Source organism: Homo sapiens, chromosome 10 (assembly GCF_000001405.40).
Source record: "Homo sapiens chromosome 10, GRCh38.p14 Primary Assembly".
Classification (NCBI taxonomy): domain Eukaryota; kingdom Metazoa; phylum Chordata; class Mammalia; order Primates; family Hominidae; genus Homo; species Homo sapiens.
In genome coordinates this window covers 32,991,619-33,017,608 of record NC_000010.11, presented here as the reverse complement: position 1 = coordinate 33,017,608, position 25,990 = coordinate 32,991,619, and the positions used below count along the sequence as shown (strand labels likewise).

At 41.8% G+C, this 25,990-nt stretch overlaps 1 long non-coding RNA gene across 1 annotated transcript in view, besides 1 other annotated feature; it reads right to left on the bottom strand.

The window, feature by feature from the left end:
• The window catches only part of ITGB1-DT (ITGB1 divergent transcript), a 99,552-nt gene that overhangs the window by 64,494 nt on the left and 9,068 nt on the right, over positions 1 to 25,990 (bottom strand). The window lies entirely within an intron of this gene.
• Positions 21,734 to 22,234: an enhancer, noted in NCBI's record as "H3K27ac-H3K4me1 hESC enhancer chr10:33284303-33284803 (GRCh37/hg19 assembly coordinates)". NCBI's record gives its function as "activates a minimal SCP1, AML or CMV promoter by ChIP-STARR-seq in primed H9 embryonic stem cells {active_cell/tissue: H9 hESC(primed)}" and the evidence as "EXISTENCE:reporter gene assay evidence [ECO:0000049][PMID:30033119]".

Below are 25,990 nucleotides of genomic sequence, written 5' to 3'. Positions count from 1 at the left end.
AACAAAATCATGTAGTAGAGGGAAGGCTGGGGTTAAGTGGAAATCATTGAATTCAACATTGATTATAGTAATAAATAAACAAATGATAATCAGAGAAATAGAGTCATTATATAAGGCATACTATATTCTTATAAAAACAAACCGCTAGAGAAAATTTAATTTTTCACATTATCACAAAAAAGAAAAAGAAAACACTGATTACACAGTGAAAGAAATTAATGCATCAGTAAAAACAGGTAGCATATCATTAATTATAAGATGTTATATTGACTTCTAGAAATTTATATTACAAATATATACATGTGAAATTATGTAGGTACAAAGATGTGGACCGCAGAATTGTTTGTAATATCAAAATACTGGGAACAATTTAAAAGTCTGTCAACAGGAAACTGATTGAATAAATTATGACATATCCATGAAGCAGAATATTATACAGCAGTCAAAAAGAATGGCTTCAATGTAATATTGCTAGGTTTAAAAAATAATATTTAGAACTAACATTGTACAGTATACAATCATTTGATGAAAAATCATATGTATTTATCTGTGTATGTGTAGTGTGGGTGTAGGCATATATTATCATCCCCGGAAGGTTAAAGAAAGGGTAAAAACAGATGTCCCCAAAGAGGGAAACTGGATCCTTGGGAAATGCGGGTAAGAAAGAAACACTTCACTGTGTACTCTTCTGTGGTTTATGGATTCTGTATGTGTGCAGGTTTTATCTAGTCGAAATCACAGAAATTAAATATTATAACTTATAAAAGGCAAAAATAACCTTACCAATTGATTGATCCTTGATATGGCTTAACTCTGTCCACCCAAATCTCATCTTGAATTTTAATCCCCATAATCCTCACGTGTTGAGGGAGGAAACTGAGAGGAGGTGATTGGATCACGGGGACTGTTTCCCCCATTCTGTTCTCGCCATAGTGAGTGAGTTCTCCCGAGATCTGATGGTTTTATAAGGCAGTTTTCCCTTTCTTGCTCACTTTCTCTTTCCTGTTGCCGTGTGAAGAAGGTCTTGCTTCCCCTTCCGCCATGACTGTAAGTTTCTCGAGGCCTCCCCAGCCATGAGAAACTGTGTCAATTAAACCTCTTTTCTTTATAAATTACCCAATGTTGGGTAGTTCTTTATAGCAGTGGGAAAACGGACTAATACAACCCTGTTATGCAAGTGCAGTTTATAATGAATTGGGAATGAAGAAGTTTGACCCAGAATAATTTCCTGCCTAGAACATCTCTGAGTATCCAATTTATTTTTGGGTCCCATTGGGAGATAAGGTTTCAGTTTGGCTTGGAGTCACTTAGAGCTTGACTTAGAGGGGACTTGGACAAGGGGATCACCGTCTGAACTAGAAACAGTCTAGATCAGCAGCCCAGGGCCTGCCTCAAGAGAAGGCTAGAGACTGCCCACTGTTGTGCCATGTGCCAACCAGGCAGAGAAACACCAAAGTCACAGTTGTAGTTAGACAGAGGTATGGTGTGTCCAGGAGCCTGCCAGTGCAGCCTGCAAGGCTGTTACTAAGTGCACTTTAATTTTTAACTTTTCTAACAGAAGTGGGAGCTGTCCCACTGAGAGTACACTCCTGCCAATGTCATGTGAAGTGAGAAAACATTTCTTGCTTTGTCTGTAGTTTGTGGATCTCTGAAGCCTTTCCTTTTCTAATAGATGACTAATAGATGGTTATGGTTAGACCAAGACCCGAGGGATGTTTTACATGAGGCTATTCCCACAGTGTGACTGTCCACAACATGCTCTTTCAAGGCATGGGAAAAAGAGTCACCACTGCCTAGGGAGAGAAAAGAATTAGAAGGGCAGCCTCCCCCTTGAGAGTTCAATGCAGTCCTTTAAGTCCAGCAATTGAATCTTTTAAAAGGCAGAACTCTGTTCTAATCAATCAAGCTTTCATTTCCTCTGGCAATACATTCCCCTTGGCACTCAAGAAATCAGAAACTAGAGCCTTGCACACGAAAAGTCAACACAGGATTTTCTGCTAAGTTGACTTGGTCTTACGAACCCACCCAGAATTTTCTGTCAGCAAGAAACCATCTATCAGTCCAAGTTTGTCACGTTAAATGGAAAAGATGTGGTTTGCATCCAGGACTTAAGGAATATAGTTTCTGATATGTTTGAGAAAAATTAAAGATAAGCAACAACCTCGAACATGTTTTTCAACCTGTCATTTCTGGTTATATAGTTTTGTGATGTCTGTGTCCAAGGTCTACTGACTAGACAGACATTCCAGGCCATACAGGTTCTGATCCTAGTTACTTAGCACAGCAAGTGGCTTTGCAGATGTCGTTGGCCGATAAAAGGCTAAAAAACCATGGGCATGATTCTAGTCTTTTGTCTTCCTCATTAGCACTTCGTGTGAAGTGATAGGAAGATTCCTTAAAATCAAACTAACTCATACACAGTGAAATTTATACTAAAAAACTTTTTTTAAGAGACAGAGTCAGCTGGGTACGGTTGCTCATGCCTGTAATCCCCACACTTTGGGAGGCCAAGGTGGGCAGATCACCTGACGTCCGGAGTTCGAGACCAGCCTGGCCAACATGGTGAAACCCCATCTCTGCTAAAAATACAAAAATTAGCCAGGTGTGGTGGCAGGCGCCTGTAATCCCAGCTACTCCGGAGGCTGAGGCAGGAGAAGTGCTTGAACCCAGGAGGTGGAGGTTGCAGTGAGCCGAGATCGCGCCATTTAACTCCAGCGTGGGGGACAAGAGTGAGACTTCGTCTCAAAGAAAAAAAAGAGAGTCTTGCTGTGTCACTCGACTGGAGTGCAGTGGTGCCATCATAGCTCACTGCAGCCTCCGACTCCTGCACTTAACTCATCCTCTCATCTCACCTTCCCCAGTAGCGAAGACTACATGTGTGCACCACCACACCCAGCTAATATTTTTTAATTTTTTGTAGAGACAGGGTATCACTGTGTTGCCCCTGCTGCTTTTGAACTGCGAGACTCAACCAATCCTCTCACCTTGGCCTCTCAAAGTGCTGGGATTACAGGGATAAACCACCACGCCCAGCCCACAAGACATTTCCCAGTGGATTTTTTCCCCAAGGTTTCCCACGGAAACTGTGTCCAGAATTGGTGGGTTCTTGGTCTCACTGACTTCAAGAATGAAGTTGCTGACCCTCGCGGTGAGTGTTACAGCTCTTAGGGGGGGACGTCTGGAGTTGTTCGTTCCTCCTGGTGGGCTCGTAGTCTTGCTGGGCTCAGGAGTGAAGCTGCAAATCTTCACGGTGAGTGTTACAGCTCATAAAAGCAGCATGGACTCAAAGAGTGAGCAGTAGCAAAACATATTGCAAAGAGCGAAAGAACAAAGCTTCCGCAGTGGGGAAGGAGACCCGAGTGGGTTGCCAATGCCGGCTCCGAAAGCCTGCTTTTATTCTCTTATCTGGCCCCACCCACATCCTGCTGATTGGTAGAGCCCAGTGGCCTGTTTTGTCCGGGCGCTGATTGGTGCGTTTACAATCCCTGAGCAAGATACAAAGGTTCTCCACCTCCCCATCAGATTAGTTAGATAGAGTTTCAACACACAGGTTCTCCAAGGCCCCACCAGAGCAGCTAGATACAAAGTGCCAATTGGTGCATTCACAAACCTTGAGCTAAACACAGGGTGCTGATTGGTGTGTTTACAAACCTTGAGCTAGATACAGAGTGCCGATTGGTGTATTTACAATCCTTGAGCTAGACATAAAGGTTCTCCACGTCCTCACCAGAGCAGCTAGATACAGAGTGTCGATTGGTGCACTCACAAACCTTGAGCTAAACACAGGGTGCTGATTGGTGTATTTACAATCCCTGAGCTAGATATAAAGACTCTCCACGTCCCCACCAGACTCAGGAGCCCAGCTGGCTTCACCTAGTGGATCCCGCACTGGGGCTGCAAGTGAAGCTGCCTGCCAGTCCTGCACCGTGCGCTCGCATTCCTCAGCCCTTGGGTGGTCGATGGGACTGGGCGCCGTGGAGTAGGGGGTGGTGCTCGTCGGGGAGGCTCGGGCAGCACAGGAGCCCATGGAGTGGGTGGGAGGCTCAGGCATGGTGGGCTGCAGGTCCCGAGCCCTGCCCCGCGGGAAGGCAGCCAAGGCCCAGCGAGAAATCAAGCGCAGTGCCGGTGGGCCAGCACTGCTGGGGGACTCAGTACACCCTCCGCAGCCACTGGCCCGGGTGCTAAGTCCCCCACTGCCCGGGGCCAGCAGGGCTGGCTGGCTGCTCCGAGTGCGGGGCCCGCCAAGCCCACGCCCACCCGGAACTCCACCTGGCCCGCAAGCGCCGCACGCAGCCCCGGTTCCCGCTCGTGCCTCTCCCTCCACACCTCCCTGCAAGCTGAGGGAGTGGGCTCCGGCCTTGGCCAGCCCAGAAAGGGGCTCCCACAGTGCAGTGGGGGGCTGAAGGGCTCCTCAAATGCCACAAAGTGGGAGCCCAGGCAGGGGAGGTGCTGAGAGCAAGCGAGGGCTCTGAGGACTGCCAGCACGCTGTCACCTCTCAAAACTTGTTCAGACAACATTTGAATTTACATAAGAGTAGAAAAATAATATTTTTGCACACATATTCCAAGAGCTGAATAGTCAATATTATTATGACATGGGTGGAGTTAGTACCTTTTTTTTTTTTTTTTGAGATGGAGTCTCACTCTGTTGCCCAGGCTGGAGTGCAGTGGTGCAATCTCGGCTCACTACAACCTCTGCCACCCAGGTTCAAGCGATTCTCCTGCCTCAGCCTCCTGAGTAGCTGAGAATACAGTGGCAGGCGCCACTGCACCCGGCTAATTTTTCTATTTTTAGTAGAGACAGGGTTTCGCCATCTTGGCCAGGCTGGTCTTGAACTTCTGACCTCGTGATCCATCCACCTCGGCCTCCCAAAGTGCTGGGATTACAGGCATGAGCCACCACACCCGGCCTGGAGTTTGTATCTTAACACACTGGTGTATGAATATTCAGTGGATAGTGAAGTCACACGGCCTTGGCTTCAGAACTGGCACCCACCCACCCTCACCACAACCACCAAGCTATGAAGAATGTGGGGTTGGGGAGACATTTGACTTTCTAAGCCTACAAAAGAGGGCTCTGAATAGCTGGTCTTCCCTCCCACCGGCCTGCTGGGAGAACAGAAGAACACGAGGTTTGCAGTTGTACTTGGTGTTGTCGTCACCATCTGGGCAGTTCCCAGTGGGAATAATTCTGGGCTCTTCTTGAGTCCTCTGCATCTGGTACATTACATGGCAAGTTCCTAGTTGGTTTCAATTCTCATTTTAAAATCTCTTGCCACTTTTATCATGAAACTTTTTAATAACTTGGTCGAAAACCAATATTCTTTCTTTTTTCTTCAACTTTTAAGTTCAGGGGTACATGTGCAGGATGTGCAGGTTTGTTACATGGGTAAACCTGTGCCATGGTAGCTGCACGGACCATCCCATCCCCTAGGTATGAAGCTCAGCACCCATTAGCTATTCTTCCTAATGCTCTCCTTCCCCCTGCACCCCCGTGCCAGGCCCCAGTGTATGTTGTTGCCTGCTATGTGTCCATGTGTTCTTATCATTCAGCTTCCACTTTTAAGTGAGAACATGCAGTGTTTGCTTTTCTGTTCCTGCATTAGTTTGCTGAGGATAGCAGCTCCCAACTCTATCCATGTCCCTGCAAAGGACATGATCTTGTTCCTTTTCATGGCTGCATATATTCCATGGGGCTATGTGCCACATTTTCTTTATCCAGTCTATCACTGATGGGCATTTAGATTGATTTCATATCTTTGCTATTGTGAATAGTGCTGCAGTGAACATACGCGTGCATGTATCTTTATAACAGAATGGCTTCAGTGAACACACGCGTGCATGTATCTTTATAATAGAATGATTTATATTCCTTTGGGTATATACCCAGTAATGGGATTGCTGGGTCAAATGGTATTTCTGCCTCTAGGTCTTTGAGGAATCACCACACTGTCTTCCACAATGGTTGAAATAATTTACATTCCCACCAATAATGTAAAAGCATTCCTTTTTCTTTCCAATCTTGCCAGCATCTGTTGTTTGTTTGTTTGTTAGTTTTTTGCTTTGTAATAATAGCCACTCTGACTGGCATGAGATGGTATCTTATTGTGGTTTCAATTTGCGTTTCTCTAATGATCAGTGATGTTGAGCTTTTTCTCATATGTTTTTGCCGTATGTATGTCTTCTTTTGAGGAGTGTCTGTTCATGTCCTTTGCCCACTTTTTAATGGGGTTTTTTTTTTCTTGTAAATTTTAAAATCAATCTTCTTTATATGTCAATAGTATTATCATAAAATAGAAGTACTAATATTGCATTTCATGACACTTCTAGGTGCAATTATAAAAGTCATTTCTGGCTGGCTTATAATCCCAGCACTTTGGGAGGTCGAGTCAGGAGGCTAGCTTGAGCCCAAGAGTTTGAGACAAGCCTGGACAACAAAGTGAGACTCCCACCTCTACAAAAAGTACAAAATCAACCAGGTGTGGTGGTGCACACCTGTAGTCCCAGCTACTCAGGAGGCTGAGGCAGGAGGATCACCTGAGCCAAGGAGATAAAGGCTACAGTGAACTGTGATAGAGACACTGTACTCTAGCCTGGGCGACAGAGCAAGACCCTGTCTCAAAGCAGAAAGAAAAAATAAAAGTCACTTGTTACAACTATGCATTTAGATTTTCCTTAAACAATCAATTTATGCCTCTCTCTACTGCTTTTGTTTGATTAATACACACGATCATTCTAAATCAGTAGCATTGCATAACAATCTTGTTAACATCTATTTTCTAGGTATTTAATGGACTGATTTCATCAAGGCCATCCCTCTGAACTCCCTGAGTGTAGACATGATATTTTCATTTTACTACCCTGTGCTCCTGCCCAGCACACCCAAGCCTCAGGGCCCAAGCCAGGCATGGAAGAACAAAAGCATCCAAGGAGGCTTCATGGTGCAATTCCAGATGGAAAATGAATCCATCCTGTGGCCAGAGGAGGAACTACCTAGAAATTCTTCCCGACTCCGGTCATTCACTGACAACTCGTTAAAACACCCTTTCGCATGGCAGTGGTTTTTAATTATTCCTCATGTGCCTGTGAGCTCCAAAACCACAGGAGACCTTCCAGCAGGCTAGGAGGGCAGGAAGCAGTTGGAGCCACTGTGGTTTAAAGGAGTAAACAAGCCAGTTCAGGTATTTGGATGAGTGCAGAGGGCTGTGCCGGAGAATGTCATACATGCCCAAGCACTCGTTTGTGGTTTTCAAAAAGGACAAATGGGTGTGGGCTGAAAGTGTGGCATCGCCACCCAGAAAGAACTGAAATTGCCACCCAGGCTGCATAAGCACACACCCTGATTATCATCTGTTGTCTAGCTGCTCCTCACAATATGAGCTTGTGCTCGTTATCTAGAAATCGATCTGAAAATAAATACAGGCTTAGTGCATCACTCTATCAGTATGATGACCGTGGGGTGCACCAGGAAGGGGACTAGACAAGGAGGAAATACCCAGAGCTCCTGTCCTGGCACTGCCATTCCCAAGAACAAGTCTTGAAAATGCTCTGGGCTTCAGCGTCCTCGTTTGTAAATCAGGAATTACAATACCAGCTCCATCTTCCTTGCAGAATTATGAGCTGATAAAGAAAACCAATCGACAAGTATCTTACTGAGCTCACAGTGCTCCCAAACATGTAGACCCCGATGAGGGCTTGAAAAGGGATAAGAAATGGTATCTGGCCTGGAATATTTCCCAATAGATTTTGGATAAGATGAGACTGAAGCCTGTGTATCAATAGTAAACCATTTGACAAGTATTTGCACAAGCACACAGTTATAGAATATAACCTATAACCCTCATAGGATTACTCAGACAAGGGAGAGTGACATGGAGGGGCAACAGCTGGGCTGGATCCTACAGGATGAAAAGGCTTCATCTGGCAAAGGGAGGGAAGGACAGGACCCCATCTGAAGACTCAAAGGCTGCAATGAGCAACACTTCTTCAATGGGCCAGGGAAATGAAAATGTAAGGGTAGGATGACACTGGATTAAAGTAACAGTGAAATCAGATGGAGGAGGTATTTGGAAAGAAAGGGAAATTGAGTTCTAGGGTATTTTCAAAAAATAGTGACAAGTTTAAGGAAGATGAATCTAATGACAGTGTGTAGTCTGGTCAGAGCTAAGATGGAAACTGATATGGAAAAGCATCTATTGCTCACTCTTAGTAGCAGTAAGAAAAAAACTGGTAAGACTAGATGACTTACTAGATACAAGGGAAAGAGTTGGGTTAAAGTTCATTTAAATTTTTTAGCAGGGGGATTACAAGAACTTCTGCTCATTTGAAAGTCAGCAATACGTTCTTGTTTGCTTTGCTTTATTGGAGGATGGGGCCATTTAAAGCCATTGCTCCACATAGTATTCTGATTGCAATTGACTCATATGAATGACAATAATATTCCCTCACCAAGCACAGCTATTTATTACGTGGTTCTGTAAGTGTGGTTTTCTTCCCATCTTGATTTTGCATCAACTCCTGTTCTGTTTTGCAACAAGTCTTCAGCATTATATCATCTTGTTTTTTTTCAACCTGTGGAGCTCTGAAGCTCGGAAAGTAGAATCATCTCATAGAATCCAACAATCTTTATTTGAATCAATGCGGTTTCTGAAGTTTAGCTACCAGAGCATAGTGGCAAGGCGCAAATCCATTTTTGTCCACTAGGTGACAGACAAGAACTACTTTCTCTGCATCCCGCTGGAAAAATGAGAGCCACAATATGGAAAAACTAAGCACTGTGGCTCATACATTTCTATTTGTCTTCTGAACTTAGAAAAGGAAACACCAATTGGTATGCCCAATATCGCTCTGTAGTCCACTGAAAAATGCCGGAAGGGTTTTCAGACTACTGAGTTGGGGTACGGGTACTTTTGCTTTTTGTGTGGTTTTTTTGGAGTTTTTTGTTGCTTGATTGACGTCTTTGTGTTTTGTCCAGGTGAAAAATAGTGGCAGGAACAGATAATGAAGGTGGTAATGATAGTGTTATAAAGTGAGACTATATTGATTATAATGTATTAATTTTTAATTAATTCATTCATTAATTTTTTGCAGTCAGGGTTAAGGGGAGTGCCGGTGGGAAAGGCAGTGGGAATTGTGCAGGTGGAAGACATGATCAAGGTGAATAGCAATGAGACTGTTCCCAAAGGCCATACAGCCTTTGCCACCCTTTTCTAAAATTATTTTTTGAGACAGATTCTCATTCTGTTGCCCAGGCTGGAGTACAGTGGCACGACCATGGCTCATGGCTCACTGCAGCCTCAACCTCCCAGGCTCAAGCGATCCTCTCAGCTCAGACTCCCCAGTAGCTGGGACTGCAGGCGCACAACCCCACATCTGGCTTATTTTATTTTATTATTTTATTTTATTTTATATTTTATTTTATATTTTATTTTATTTTATTATTTTATTTATTTTATTTTATATTTTATTTTTATTTTTTATTTTATTTTATTTTATATTTTATTTTATTTTATTTTATATTTTATTTTATTTATTTTATTTTATTTTGTTTTATTTTATTTTATTTTATTTTATTTTATTTTATTTTATTTTATTTTATTTATTTTTTGAGACAGAGTTTCTCTCTTGTTGCCCTTGTTGCCCAGTCTGGAGTGCAATGGCGCAATCTCTGCTCACTGCAAACTTGGCCTCCTGAGTTCAAGCGATTCTCCTGCCTCAGCCTCCTAAGCAGCTGGGATTACAGGGGCCCGTCACATGCCCAGCCAGCTAATTTTTTGTATTTTTAGTAGAGATGGGGTTTCACCACGTTGGCCAGGCTGGTCTTAAGCTCCTGACCTCAGGTGATCCGCCCACCTCGGCCTCCCAAAGTGCTGGGATTACAGGCATGAGCCACCGCGCCTGGCCCTATTTTTACTTTATTTTAGAGACGGGGTCTCGCTATGTTGCCCGGGATGGTCTCCAACTCCTGGCCTCAAGTGATCCTCCTGCCTTGGCCTCCCAAGGTGCTAGGATTACAGGCAAGAGCCACTGTGCCTGGCCCCTTTTAGAAATGCCCTGGCAATCCAGACAGGGCTGAGAAACATGACTAAAAGTTACTTTACGGAGACATCTAGTTTATTCTTCTTCTGGATAGAACTATACTTAAATCAACAGTACAATGATGCTGACAGTGGGCTTCAAACCTGACTCTAATATTGAATTTCAGCTGGGCATGGTGCTCACGCTTGTAATCTCAGCACTTTGGGAGGCCAAGGCAGGAGGATTACCTGAGATCAGGAGTTCAAGACCAGCCTGGCCAACATGGTGAAATCGTCTCTCTACTAAAAACACAAAAATTAGCTCGGCGTGGTGGTGTGTGCCTGTAATTCCAGCTACTTGGGAGGCTGAGGCAGGAGAATTGCTTGAACCCCGGAGGCTGAGGTTGCATTGAGCTGAGATTGCGCCACTGCACTCCAGCCTGGGTGACAGAGCAAGACTCCATCTCAAAAACAAACAAAAACAACAACAACAATTGAATTGCTTCGAACAGTGGAGTAAGAATGGTTTTAATCAACATCCATTGAGTGTGTATTTTGTCTAACATACTCTACAGTTAGTATTCTTCAATTGATGTCATAACTATCACACCCACCCAAAGGAACTTAAAACTTACTGAAGCTTGTGAGACTGCTGCATATTTTTAAATATTCTAACAACATTCAGTTTTCTCCTACACACTTTCTAACAATATCGACAGCAAAATAAATATTGCTGCATTTGAAAATGAAATTTGAAAACAAACCTCTATTTACAACTCCCTTGGTAAAGTTTCTTTTTGTTTGTTTGTTGAGACAGAGTCTCGCCCTGTGGCCCAGGCTGGAGTGCAGCGGCGCCATCTCAGCTCACTGCAACCTCAGCCTCCTGAGTTCAAGCGATTCTCCCGCCTCAGCCTCCTGAGTAGCTGGGATTACAAGTGCACACCACCATGCCCGGCCTATTTTTCTATTTTTAGTAGAGATGAGGTTTCACCAAGTTGGCCAGGCTGATCTCGAACTCTTGGCTTCAAGTGATGTGCCCACGTCTGCCTCCCAAAGTGCTGGGATTACAGCCATGAGCCATCACGCCTGGCTCCCTTGGTAAAGCTTCTACTATTTTTAGGTAACTGTTTTGAAGATACGTTGTTTTCCTCTCCCAAAAAAGCAAGGAAGACCAGCTATTTAAAGCTAATGAGATCACATTAAAAAGATAGAAATAAATATTTTTACACATTTCCTTAAATCTCAGCATTCTGAATAACTTGGGCTTTCTTTTGATCAACTTCACTAGGAAAAAAACTAACTGATTTGGAGTGATGTTTCCACAAATAGGACTCCCATACATGCTTGCTCATGCCCTCCCTTGAACTTCCTCTGCTGCTTTCTATATATTTAAAGTGGAATGGAAGTTTATTACATGAAAGCAGATGGTGTTTGGCCCTTGTAAAGAAAACCTAAAACGCAGCATGGAGCGACATAAGCACAGTGCCTCCCCCTGCAATTATGTATTTACATCTAAGCTGTGCAATTTAGGTGTGACTTTGGGCAAGACATTCATCTGAGCCTCAGTTTCCCCGACGAGTAAAGGGCCTAGATCACTGACCCACACTTCACTAAGTTTTGGTGAGAATCGCGGGCGCTAACAGCACTCCAATTAAGGTCAAGCACTATGCAAATAGGAGCAGCATTTTTGATGTTGGGAAAGACAGCGCGGAGACCCGGGCTGGCTTCCAGAGGGTGCAGCCCGCCTGCGTTCCCGGGCTGCCGGGCCGCGTCACCACCACCACCGAGCCCGCCTGCGGCAGTGCAAACGCAGTGAGTCATCCGCAGGGCGTGCGGAGTGTGCCGGCTGGGTCCCTGCAGCCCCCAAGCCCGGAGGGATGCGGGAAAATCGCTCTTGGAAGATGCAATTGCTTTAATAATCGACTTTCACCCTTAGTAGCAGAAAAACGACCGTGGCCACAGTACCACAAAGTCTCTGGTATGTGATTTCACTTTCCAGTTTTCCTGGGGAAGCCAGCGGCCTCTGCTTGGGAGCATTATTACCATATATAGAGAGAAATCTGCCTAGTGGGGTGAAAAAAAGAGCCCAGGAGAAGCCTGAGTCAGTTGCCTTAGGTAAGAGTGACTATTGCCAGGGTCAGGATGAGATCTGCCCGTCAGCCGACTTTATTACTAACCCTGTGAAGTTGCAGATGATTCAAACAGCAGAAAAGGGAAGTGTTGCAAACATCAGCACACTCAGGACATCTAACCCGCAGGAGAGGCTGTGAAGCAGTTATTAAAATTCTGGAAAACAGATGAAAGAGACTGTTCTCAACCTTGGGGGGAAAGAAACGTTCCTACCTTTATTTCTAGATTTTTTTTTTTAAGAAAACAACAACAAAAAATTCTAAATAGAAGCAGTTTAGCTAATGATCTAGGACAAAAATCTCTGTGACTTTGAAGCACTGCTGTAGGTTAAAAAATAATGCATCACGTGAAACAGTAGTTTTGAGACCAGCCTGGGCAACAAAGTGAGTCCCCGTCTACAAAAAGTAAAACTTTTTAAAAATTAGCCGGGCTTGGTGGCATGCCTCTGTAATCCAAGCTACTCAGGAGGCTGAAGCAGGAAGATCCCTTGAGCCCAGGAGTTGAAGGCTGCGGTGAGCTATGATCCAGCCACTGCACTCCAGCCTGAGCGACAGAGTGAGACCCCCATCTCTAAAAAAATAAAAGTAGCCGGCACAGTGGCTTACACCTGTAATCCCAGCACTTTGGGAGGCTGAGGCGGGCAGATCACCTGAGGTCAGGACTTCGAGACCAGCCTGGCCAACATGGTGAAATCCCGTCTCTACCAAAAATATGAAAATTAGCTGGGCCTGGTGGTGGGCGCCTGTAATCCCAGCTACTCGGTGGGCTGAGGTGGGAGAATCGCTTGAACCTGGGAGGTGGAGGTTGCAGCGAGCTGAGATCATGCCATTGCACTCCAGCCTCAGTGGCGAGAGTGAAACTCTGTCTCTAAATAAATAAATAAATAAATGTTAAAAAAAATTTAATGCAGATATAGGCCACAGACATAAGACAACCTTGCTGACAAGTTGAAATGATTAGTAAGTATATAGTAATTGTTTTGATGCTTGTGACATCATAGTTACTGGCAAAAGAAAAAAAATAGAACTATCAAGAATTTTGAGTAGACATGTTTCAGGAAGAGGGAAAGGACTTGGATGAATGTTTGGAAAACAATGGAAAGCTTTTACACCTATTCTTGACTTCCATTTTGCTGGATTGCACATAGCTCCCCAAACCTCACTTTTTCACTCATAAAATAATCATAGCATTTGTCTCTACTTAGTTTTTAGTACTCTATTAATATTTTCTGTGATTATTCCCATAAAGCTGTTTGAATCACTTGGAAGAAATATATATCTTCTCATTTTTTAGACTTTTCTGTCGCAGCCTATTATGCTCTGATGATCAATATACAATTACATATAATATATTGTTATCAGATGATAATAGGTATATAATGTGAGGAATCTAAACATTACAAAATAACCAGAGGGAGCCCATGAACTTATTCTTAGATTCCATAAACAAAAAGAAAAAAAAAAGGAGTATCTATCCTACATAAACCAACTAGGAAAATGCCTCTGTGACATTGCTAAGACTTAATGACAAAAGTGATGGAAGAAACCAAGTAATTACACCGTGGGCTTTTCTTTGTGTACAAAAAAAAAAATCTGGTACAGTGATTTCGTACTTAATGTTGTCAATAGGTTCTTGAAAATTTCAGCTTTAGGTGAAAGGATATATAATGAAATCAATTTGATCATAGGCTACTTGATACAAACAAGAGTTAAGATCCTCTGGCATATTTCTGATCACAAAAACATAACCCAACTTTCAAATAAAGACCCAAAGCACTTCTAATATTAAACATTGAAATACATGTAAGCTCTACTTAACATTTAAGAAGGATGAATCAAAACAAGTAACATGATTTGCCTGCTTAGTCCAGTTCCGGGTCACTGGTGGCCAGAACCTCTCCCAGAAACTCAGGGTCCAAGGTGGGAGCCCACTCACAACAGGACGCCATCCCATCATGGGGTGCACTCACATACACCCCCACTCACTCTCACCTGGACCATTTTAGACACAATTCACTTAATGTGCATATCTGTGGGATGTGGGAGGAAACCCAAGTACCTGGAAAGAACCCACACAGACATGGGGAGAACACACACACCACACAGACAGTGGCCCTGGCTGAGAATCAATTTTTTCTTCTCATCAACATTATAAGGAAATGATGTTGAATGAAAGGAAAAAAGACATTATTCGAGGACTTGCTGTATGATATGGTTTCGCTGTGTCCCCACCCAAATCTCATCTTGAATTGTAGCTCCTGTAATTCCCACATGTTGTGGGAGGGACCCCGTGGGAGATAGTTGAATCATGGGGGCTGTTTTCCCCATACTGTTCTCATGGTAGTGAATAAGTCTCACGAGATTTGATGGTTTTATAAGGGGAAACCCTTTTCGCTTGGTTTTCATTTTCTCTTTGCCTGCCACCATGTAAAATATGGATTTGCCCCTCCTTGCCTTCCGCCATGATTGTGAGGCCTCCCCATGCATGTGGAACTGTGAGTCCATTAAACCTCTTTCCTTTATAAATTAACCAGTCTTGGGTGTGTTTTTATTTGCAGCACGAGAACAGACTAATACACTCTACTTTATCATTAAGTAGACTATCTTTAATTTTTTAACATTCTCATTGTAGAAAATTCAAACAATACAGGAATACAAAAAAGTGTGAATACCCCTTATAGTCCCACAGTCTCCAGAGACCAGAGATAATATACTGCCATATCTCTTTTTTTAATTTTTACTTATTATTATTATTTTTTTTTTTGTAGAGACAGCAGGTCTCACTATGTTGAGCAGTCTGGTCTCAAACTCCTGGCCTGAAGAGATCTTCCGGTTGGGCCTCCCAGAGTGCTGGATTACAAGCCTGAGCCACCATGCCCAGCTCTGCCAGACCTCTTTCTTAGGATAAACACATACACATGACTGCAATATAGATAATGTTCTACAATGTACTTTCCTCACCTAATGAATTTTATGATTACTATATAGAGATCAATCTCATTCTTTTCATGGGCTGAAGTCATTGACTGAATATGCCACAATTTATTTAAGCTGTCGTCTCTTGATGAAAGATTCCTCCCAGTGGTGTTTCTCTATTAAAGAAAACACTGCAGTAAACATCACTGGGATTTTGCAAACTCATGAAGCACATGAGCAAGTATTTTCCCAAAGGTAAGTTATGTAAGAGGAATTTCTGGGTGAAAGTCTACACTACATTGTATAAGTGTCCATTTCCCTTTGTTGTCACTGTTGTCATTGTTTGTGCTGCTGAAGCTGCTCTTATTAAGACATGGTTCACATTTTAACAGTTTAGTCATTACGCTAATATGGTCAGAGACCCCCTCCCCAGATGTATCACATGATCCAGCTCATCATTCTCTTTCCCATGGGCTTTCCACAGTCAGCAAATGAAAAACAATGTCCACTCCGTGATTAGCTATGCAAGCACTAAATACAGAGCTCTGTAAAAGCTCGTATCAAGACTATGGTTTAGACATGAGGTATAAGAGACACCTTTGGGCTCATGCCCAAATCTAAATCTTGGGATTCTCACTCACTTTCCAGCTGGTCACTATGCGATGATGAGCATGCTCAGTAGCGAATGCAGAGACAGAGTGGTTTGAATGTGTTTTCTCCAAAATTCAGGTGTTGAAATTTAATGGTCATTGTGGTGGTATTAAGAGGTGGGGTCTTTTTTTTCTTTGTTAATATAGCTAGTGGTCTATTGATCATGTTCATCTTTTCAAAGAACTGATTTTAGATGTTGTTGATTCTTTGTATAGTTTTTGGGTCTCAATTTTGTTCAGCTCTGCTCTGATTTTTGTTCTTTCTTTTCTCCTGCTAGCACTGGGGTTAGTTTTTCTAGTTCCGCCAGGGGTGGTGTTAGATCGTGAGTTTGAGATCCTTCTAACTTTTTGAGGTAGGCATTAGCGCTATAAACTGTCCTTTTAACACTACTTTTGCTGCATCCCAGAGATTTTGGTATATTGTGTCTCTGTTTTCATTTATTTCAGAGAATTTAAAATTTCTGCTTTAATTTTATTGCTTACTCAAAAGTCATTCAGGAGCAGGTTGCTTAATTTTCCTGTAATTGTGCAGTTTTAAGAGATCTTCTTGGTATTTCTATTTTTATTTGACTGTGGTCTGATAATATGGTTAGTATGATTTTAATTTTTTTGAATTTATTGAGACCTGCTTTATGGATGAGCATGTGAAAGATCCAAATAAGCACAATCAGAAATGACAAAGGTGACATTACAACTGATCTCACAGAAATACAAAAGATCCTCAGAGACTGTTATGAACATCTCTATGCACAAAAACTAGAAAATCTAGAGGAAATTAATAAATTCCTGGAAACACAAAACCTCCCAAGATTCAATCAGGAAGAAATTGAAACCCTGAACGGACCAATATTGAATTCCAAAATTGAAGCAGTAATACCAACCAAAGAAAGCACTGGACCAGACAGATTCACAGCCAAATTCTATCAGATGTACAAAAATAGCTAGTACTAATAATATGGAAACTATTCCAAAAAATTGAGCAGGTGAGACTCTTCCCAAACTCACTGTATGAAGTTAGCAACACCCTGATACCAAAACCTGGCAAAGACACAACAAAAAAAGAAAACTATAGGCCAATCTCCCTGCTGAACATAGATGCAAAAATCCTCAACAAAATACTAGCAAAACGAATCCAGCAGCACATCAAAAAGTTAATTCACCATGATCAAATAGGCTTCATTCTTGGTATAAAAAGTTGGTTCAATATACACAATCAATAAACATGATTTACTACATAAATAGAACTAAAAAAATACACATGATCATTTCATTACATGTGGAAAAAGCTTGCAATAAAATCCACATCCTTTCATGACAAAAAACCTTCAAGTAAGAAGGAACATACCTAAATAATAAGTACTATCTATGACAACCCACAGCCAACATCATACTGAATGGACAAAAACTGGAAGCATTCCTCTTGAGAACTGGAACAAGGCAAGAATGTCCAGTCTCACTACTGCCAGTACTTCAGTATGGTACTGGAAGTACTAGCAGATCAATCAGGAAAGAGAAAGAAAAAGACATCCAAATAGGAAAAGAAGTCAACTATCTCTCTTTGCTGACAATATGATTCTATAACTAAAAAACCCTAAAGACTCCACAAAAAGCCTCCTGGAACTGATAAACAACTTCAATAAATTTTCAGGATACAAAGTCAATATATGAAAATCAGTAGCATTTCCATGTAGCAATAAAGTTCAAGCCGAGAGCCAAATCAAGAACACAATCCCATTTACAATAGCCACCAAAAAAATAAGATATCTAGGAATACACTTACCCAACGGGGTGAAAGATCTCTACAAAGAGAACTACAAAACAGTGCTAAAAGAAATCATAGATGACACAAACAAATGGGAAAACATTTCATGCTCATAGATTGGAAGAATCAATATTGTTAAAATGGCCATACTGCTCAAAGCAGTCTACAGATTCAATGCTATTCCTTTCAAACTACCAACATCATTTTTCACAGAATTAGGAAAAACTATTCTAAAATGCATATGCAACCAAAAAGAGCATGAATAGCCAAAGCTGTTCTAAGCAAAAAGAACAAAGCTAGAGACATTCATTACTGTACTTCAAACTATACTGTAAGGCTGCAATAACCAAAACAGCATGGTATTGGTACAAAAACAGACATATACACTAATGGAACTCAATAAAGAACTCAGACATAAAGCCACACATCTACAGCCATCTGACCTTTGACAAAGTTGACAAAAATAAGCAATGGGGAAAGAACTCCCTATTCAATAAATGGTGCTGGGATAACTGGCTAGCTATATGCAGAAGAATAAAACTGGACTCCTACCTTTCACCATATACAAAAATTAACTCAAGGTGGATTAAAGACTTAAATGTTTGTGACCTCACACTGTAAGAAATGTAGAAGAAAACCTAGGAAACACCATTCTGGACATCAGCCTTGGGAAAGAATTTATGACTAAATCCTGAAAAGCAAATGCAACAAAAACAAAAATTGACAAGTGGGACTTAATTAAACTAACAAGCTTCTACACAGCAAAAGAAATTATTAACGGATTTCTCCCAAATGGGAGAAAATATTTGCAAACTATGCATCCAACAAAGGCCTAATATCCAGAATCTATAAGGAACTTAAACAACTTAACAAACAAAAAACAAATAACCGCATTTAAAAATGGGCAAAAGACATGAACCATTTTCAAAAGAAGACATACAAGCAGCCAACAAACATGTAACAAAATGCTCCACATCACTAATCATCAGATAAATGCAAATCAAAACCACAATGAGATATCATCTCACATCAGTCAGAATGGCTATTATGAAAAAGTAAAAAAAAACACAACAGATATGGGTAAGGCTGTGGAGAAACAGGACTCCTTTACACTGTTGGTGGGAATGTAAATGAGTTCAGGCACTATGGAAAGCAGTTTGGAGACTTCTTAAAAAACTTAGAACTACTATTCAACACAGCAATCTCATTACTGGGTATATATCCAGAAAAAAAGCAAATCAATGCAAGAATAGAAAAACCAAATACCACATATTCTCACTTATAAGTGGGAGCTAAAAGTTGGATACTCATGGACATAAAAATGGCAACAATAGAAACTAGAGACTATTAGAAGTGGTAGGCAAAGACAGGGGGTAAGGATTGGCTAACTAACTATTGGATACTATGCTTAGTACCTGGGTGACAGGATCTTTCATACCCCAAACTTCAGCATCATGCAACATACCCAGGTAACAAACCTGCACATGTACCTCCTGAACCTAGAATAAAAGTTGATTTTTTGGCCAGGCGCAGTGGCTCATGCCTGTAATCCCAGCACTTTGGGAGGGCAAGGAGGGTGGATCACCTGAGGTGAGGAGTGCAAGATCAGCCTGACTGACGTGGAGAAACCCCGTACCTACTAAAAATACAAACATTAGCCGGGCGTGGTGGCACATGCCTGTAATACCAGCTACTCAAGAGGCTGAGGCAGGAGAATTGCTTAAACCCAGGAGGCAGAGGTTACAGTGAGCTGAGATTACGCCATTGCACTTCAGCCTGGGCAACAAGAGTGAAACTCCATCTCAAAAAAAATAAAAAATAAAAACAAGTTTGTCTTTTAAAAAGTGGGAGTAGGGCCATTAGAGGTGATTGGGTCATGAGGGCTCCTCCCTCATGAATGGGATAAAGGCCCTTATAAAGGAGACTTCAGGCAGCATTCAGCTCTCTTGCTCTCCCACCTTCCACCATGTGAGGACACAGCATTCTTCCCCACTGGAGGATGTGGCAACAAGGCTCCATCTTGGAGGCCGAGAGCAGCCTTCATCAGACAACAAACTTGCCGGCGCCTCGATCTTGAATTTCCTAGCCCCTGGAACTGTGAGAAAATAAATTTCTGTTCTTCACAAATGCCCCAATGTGTGGTATTTTGTTATAGCAGTACAAACAGCCTGAGACAAGCCCTGAGTTCATTTGCCAACCAAATGCAGGAAAAGAAAAGATGAGTGAGATGGAGTCAACCATGAGTTCTTCCCTTTTAACACCCATAAGCTTCTTCCCTGTGGGGAAGGCCCTGGTTAAACGCAGGCTTGCATGAGGGAACATGACAGAAATTTCTCCTCTCCTACCATTATTTTTTGGTGTTTTTTGTTCTTTTTGAGACAGTCTTGCTCTGTCACCTAGGCTGTACTGCAGTGGTACAATCATGGCTAACAGCAGCCTTGGCCTCCCTGGCTCAAGCAATTCTCCTCCAACCTCGGCCTTCCAAGTTGCTGGCACTACAGGCATGCACCATTACGCCCAGCTAATTTATTTTTATTTTTTGTAGAGATGGGGTATCACTATATTTCCCAGGCTGGCCTCAAACTCCTGGCTCAAGCAACCCTCCTTCCCTGGACTCCCAAAATACTGGGATTACAGGCATGAGCCACTATTTCTGGCCTCCTACTATTGTTTATTTCATTTCTCCCCTCTTGATTTATCTTTCATTAAACCAGTTTTCATATCTTCTTCTTTTGTGTTTTTTTAATGGACTAGACAGCTCTATGTATTCACTCTACCAGTAGATTATTTTATGTGTATATATATATATATATATATATATATATATATATTTTTTTTTTTTTTGAGACAGATCTCGCTCTGTCACCCAGACTAGAGTTCAGTGGTGTGATCTCGGCTCACTGCAACCTCCACCTCCCAGGTTCAAGCAATTCGGTTGCCTCAGCCTCCTGAGTAGCTGGGATTACAGGCATGCACCACCAGGCCCAGCTAATTTTTGTATTTTTGAGACCGGGTTTCACCATGTTCGTCAGGCTGGTCTTGAACTCCTGACCTCGGGATCTGCCCACCTCAGCCTCCCAAAGTGCTGGGATTACAGATGTGAGCCACCACGCCCAGCCTATTATTATATTTTAACAAAGAAATGTGATTGGGACCTTTTGCAAGCTTTTACTTTTTCCTCCCTCCCTCTCTCCTGCCTCAAGGTTTTAGTGAATAATCTGCCTAATTTTTCAGATGCTCAAAAAATTATTTTCTTATACCTCTTCTTTTTCAAGATTATTTTTAATTGCATCACACTTCACTTATGAAAATTTATTTAGATTTAATTCTATGTTTCATTGAAGTTTTACTAGTTACTACTCTCCTGTATATTGTGGGTTTTTTCTTTTTTGTCATTTTTACTCTGTTTTTATTTAACTAGAGTATTTTCACAAGTAATTATCCAAAAAGTGCACATCATTGCTATACATTTACTTCTGAATCCCTGAATATCTAGGATGGTGAGTTAGACTCCTTTGCTTTGTTAACTTGCCACTATGGTTAAGTCTCAGAGCCTTCACAGTTCTTAACATTAGAAATGGGCTTTTGAAAAATAAGGCCATCATAAATTGGTGAACTTTTTCAATCTGCAGACACAGCCCTTTTTTCAGCTCTGGGGAAGTATTTTCTACTATTCACTGATTGTTTGTTCTTCATTGCATTTTTTTCTTGCATTTACAACTCCCGTTATTTTTAGATTGGACTTCCAAATCTGTTCTCCAAGATACTTATCCTTTCTCATGACCTCTCTCTTATGTGCACATTCTGTCAATATCATTCAGTGTTTGGAATTGTCTATTATATTATTCACTGTTGTTATTTAGATTTATATTTTGAAAATTATGGTTTAAGTTTTTTTCCAAAGAATTATTTCAGAGTATTTCTTTTTCATGAAAGACATTTTTAAAAGTGATCTCTCCAACCATTGTGAATCTGAATTAGAATATTTCTTCTAAACTCTCTCCTGGTTCCTGTTTCAGAAAGGTTCATTTGTTCTAAGTGGTCAATCTGGTGCCCTCCTTTTCACCAGACGGTTCTACCCATCTGTGGTTTGTTATTATTGTCTAGCTTATTTAGTATTATTAGCTGGAACAAGTTTCTTAAGTTCTTGCAGAGCTCTGGCTCTGGGATTTCCCCAAAGGAAATGGTCTGAGAGTTGATAAACAAGAGGGCTTGAGCTTTTTCTCAGCGGGGCTAGGGCTGAGGACACACAGCAGGTGAACAGGGCTCCTCTTCCGGTTGTGCTAATTCCTCTCCATCAAGGCAGGCAGCAGTGGGTCAGAGTGACAAGTCTCACTGAATCTGCTCCTCTGACTGCCTGAGGAGATTTGGGGCAGTGAGAGGACCCCCTCAAACAAGGCTTCTGACCACGGAGTCCACGGGCTTCCCCAGGAAAGGTGAGCAAGAGCACATGGTCTTTCCTGTAATGTGATTTCCACTCTACACCCTCTGTATTCATTTTCTCTTGCTGTGTAACAAAGTACCACAACTTAATGGCTTAAATCAGCACGCATTTGTTATCTCATGGTTCCCACGGTCCAGGAGTCCAGGTACAGCTGGATCCCCTGCAAGGCTACAATCAGTGTTGGCCGTAGCTACAGTTCTCATATGGAGCTCCAGGTCCTCTTCCAAGCTCATTTGGGTGTCTGGCAGAATTCACTTCCTTGCGACTGTATGACCGAGATCCCTGTGTTCTTGCTAGGAACTACCCTCAGTTCTTAAAGGCCACTTGCAGTCTCTTGCCACATGGCCTTCAAAGGCAGTTCATTTGCTCTTTTCCAGGTCAGCAGAAGCAAATCTCTGACTTCTAACTTTCTTCCAATCTGCTCCATGGGAGTCTCATAAAATGTGATGCAATGAAGGGAGTGATTATGCCACCACCATGTGCCACATGATGCAGTCTAATTAATGGAGCAATTATCCCGTGATAGTCAAAGATTCCCTCCACACTCCCGCATTTCCTCCACAAATAAGCTATGTACATCTGGGGTTGGGAGTTGGGACCCGCTTAGAATTTTGCCTTCCACGCTTGTACACTGTTGATGAGAGTGTAAATTAGTTCAACCATTGTGGAAGACAGTGTGGCGATTCCTCAAAGACCTAAAAACAGAAATACCTTTCAACCCAGCAATCCCATTACTGGGTGTATTCCCAAAGGATTATAAACCATCCCATCATAAAACACATGCATGCATATGTTCACCACAGGCCTATTCACAACAGCAAAGACATGGAATCAACCTAAATGCACATCAATGGTAGACTGGATAAAGAAAATGTGGTATATATACATCGTGGAATACTATGCAGCCATAAAAAAGAATGAGATAATATCCTTTGCAGGAACATGGATGGAGCTGGAGGCCATCATCCTTAGCAAACTAATGCAGGACCATAAAACCAAATACTGCATGTTGTCACTTATAAGTAGGAACTAAATGAGAACACATGGACACATAGAGGGTGACAATACACACTGGAGCCTATCAGAGGGTGGAGAGTGGGAGGAGGTAGAGGATCAGGAAAAATAACTAATGGATACTACCTGGGTGATGAAATAATCTGTAAAACAAACCCCTATGACACAAAGTTTATCTATATAACAAACCTGCTCATGTACCCCTGGACTTAAAAGTTAAATTAAAAAAAAAAAAAAAGAATTTTGCCTTCCACAATCTCAGAAGTATAAGAATACCTTTTAGTTTCCAGTGGCAGATAGAATTTCTCCTTCTATGTTTGTTGAGTTGCTTTAATAAAGAACTAGTGGGGGAGGGCAGATAGAATTTCTCCTTCTATGTTTGTTGAGTTGCTTTAATAAAGAACTGGTAGGGGAGGGGGATGGTGGGGAGGCAGAATATCAAAGGTGTATGTTTAAGATACCACATTTAGGCTGGGCGCGGTGGCTCAAGTCTGTAATCTCAGCACTTTGGGAGGTTGAGGTGGGTGGATCATGAGATCAGGAGTTCGAGACCAGCCTGGCCAACATGGTGAAACCCTGTCTCTACTAAAAATACAAAAATTAGCCAGGTGTGGTGGCGCATGCCTGTAATCCCAGCTACTCAGGAGGCTGAGGCAGGAGAATCACTTGAACCCAGGAGGCGGAGGTTGCAGTATGCCGGGATTAAGCCACTGCACCCCAGCCTGGGAGACAAAGCAAGTGTCTCAAAAAAGAAAGCAAGACTCAAAGCAAGTGTCTCAAAAAAAAAAAAAAAGATACCACATTTAATTGCTCAAATAATTAAACTTTCACCTTAATGAATTGATCAGCATTTATTAAATGTAAGATAGTACCTTAATGGTTGTTTTCACCATTGCAAAATGTTCTTCAAACAAATGAACCAAATTGATATATAAATAAAACATATATTTGAGGCAGTGTATTTATTTTAATTAATAGAATTTTTTTAGAACAGTTATAGATTAACAGAAAAATTGGTCACAGAGTAAAGAGCGTTCCCATATACCCACTACACACACATACACATCCATAATTTTCCCTATTACTAGCATCTTGAATTAGTATGATGCATTTGTTATAATTAATGAGCCAATATTGATACATTATTATTATTAAAGTCCATAGTTGACTTTAGGATTCACTCCTTGTGTTATGCATTCTGTAAGTTTCGCCAAATGCATAATTATATATATCCATCATTACAGTGTCCTACAGAATAGTTTTAGAACTATATATTTTAATCAAGAAGGTTTTTGTTTTGTTTTGTTTTGTTTTTCTAAGATGAAGTCTCACTCTGTTGCCCAGACTGGAGTGCAGTGGTAGAATCTCAGCTCACTGCAACCTCCGCCTCAAGCAATTCTTCTATCTCAGCCTCCCCAGTAGCTGAGACTACAGGTGCACGCCAGCATGCTCAGCTAATTTTTGTATTTTTAGTAGAGACAGGGTTTTATCATGTTGGCCAAGCTGGTCTGGAACTCCTGGCCTCAAGCAATCTGCCCGCCTCAGCCTCCCAATGTACTGGGATTAGAAGCATAAGCTACTGTGCCTGGCCCCAAGAAGTTTTTTTAGTCTGATGTTTTTCCTGTCATGGGTCATCTGTGTGACCCTTTCAGGCAAATGTGGGTGTCTAGACAGCATGTCATCAGATTTGGGTATAACAGAGCCTTCTGTGACTAAGTAGAGTTGACCTGAGTCCCTACTATTCAAAATTGGTTATTAGGGAGGATGTGGTTCAATCTGCTTAAGAAGAATGCAGTCTCTGGGGAAGGAATTTTAAAACAGAGTAATTTTGGTCCAAACTAAGGCCCAGTGGCATAAAAGAAATGTGAGTTTCCAGAAATAAAATTATCCTGAGGTGCTCTGGAAAAGACACTGTAGAGAGAAGACAAGCAACAGACTGGGAGAAAAGTAATTGCAAAGACCTATCTGATAAAGGACTGCTATCCAAAATATGTATACAAGGAACTCTTGGAACTCAACAATAAGAAAACAAACAACCTGATATGGTTTGGCTGTGTCCCCACCCAAATCTTATCTTGAATTGTAGCTCCCATAATTCCCACATGTTGTGGGAGGGACCCAGTGGGAGGTAATTGAATCATGGGAGTAAGTCTTTCCTGTGCTGCTCTCAAGATAGTGAATAAATCTCACAAGAGCTAATGGTTTTATAAAGGGGAGTTTCTGTGCACACACTCTCCTGCCTGCTGCCACGTAAGACGTGCCTTTTGCCTGCCGCCATGTAATATGTGCCTTTGCTCCTCCTTCGCCTTCTGCCATGATTGTGAGGTCTCCCCAGCCATGCTGAACTGTGAGTCAATTAAACTTTTTTCCTTTACAAATTACCCAGTGTCGGGTATGTTTTTATTAGCACGTGAGAATGGACTAATAGACAACTTAGTTAAAAAAGTAGGCAAAAGATCCAAATAGATACCTCACCGTAAAAGATATGTAGAAGGCCAATAAACATATTAAAGATGCTTAACATCAAATTTTGTTAGTCAATTGCCAAAAACAATAGTGAGATACCATTATATACACTTATTAGAATGACCAAAACTCAGAATACAGATAACTCTAAATGCTGGTAAGGATGTGAAGCAGCAGGAACTTTCATTCCTTGCTGGTAGGAATACAAAATGGTACAGCCGCTTTGGAAGACAGTTTGGAAGTTTCTTAGAAAACTAAACATACTCTTACCATACATTCCAGCAATTGCACTCCTTGGAATTTACCCAAATAAGTTTAAAATTTAGGTCCACAAACACCAAAAAAAAGAGTTATCAAGCTGGGTGCAGTGGCTCATGCCTGTAATCACAGCACTTTGGGAAGATGAGATGGGTGAATCACTTGAGGCCAGGAGTTCAAGACCAGCCTGGCCAACATGGTGAAACCCCATCTCTACTAAAAATACAAAAATTAGCCAGGCGTTGTGGTGCACGCCTGTAGTCCCAGCTACTCAGGAGGCTGAGGAAGGAGAATTGCTTGAACCCAGGAGGTGGAGGTTGCAGTGAGCCAAGAGC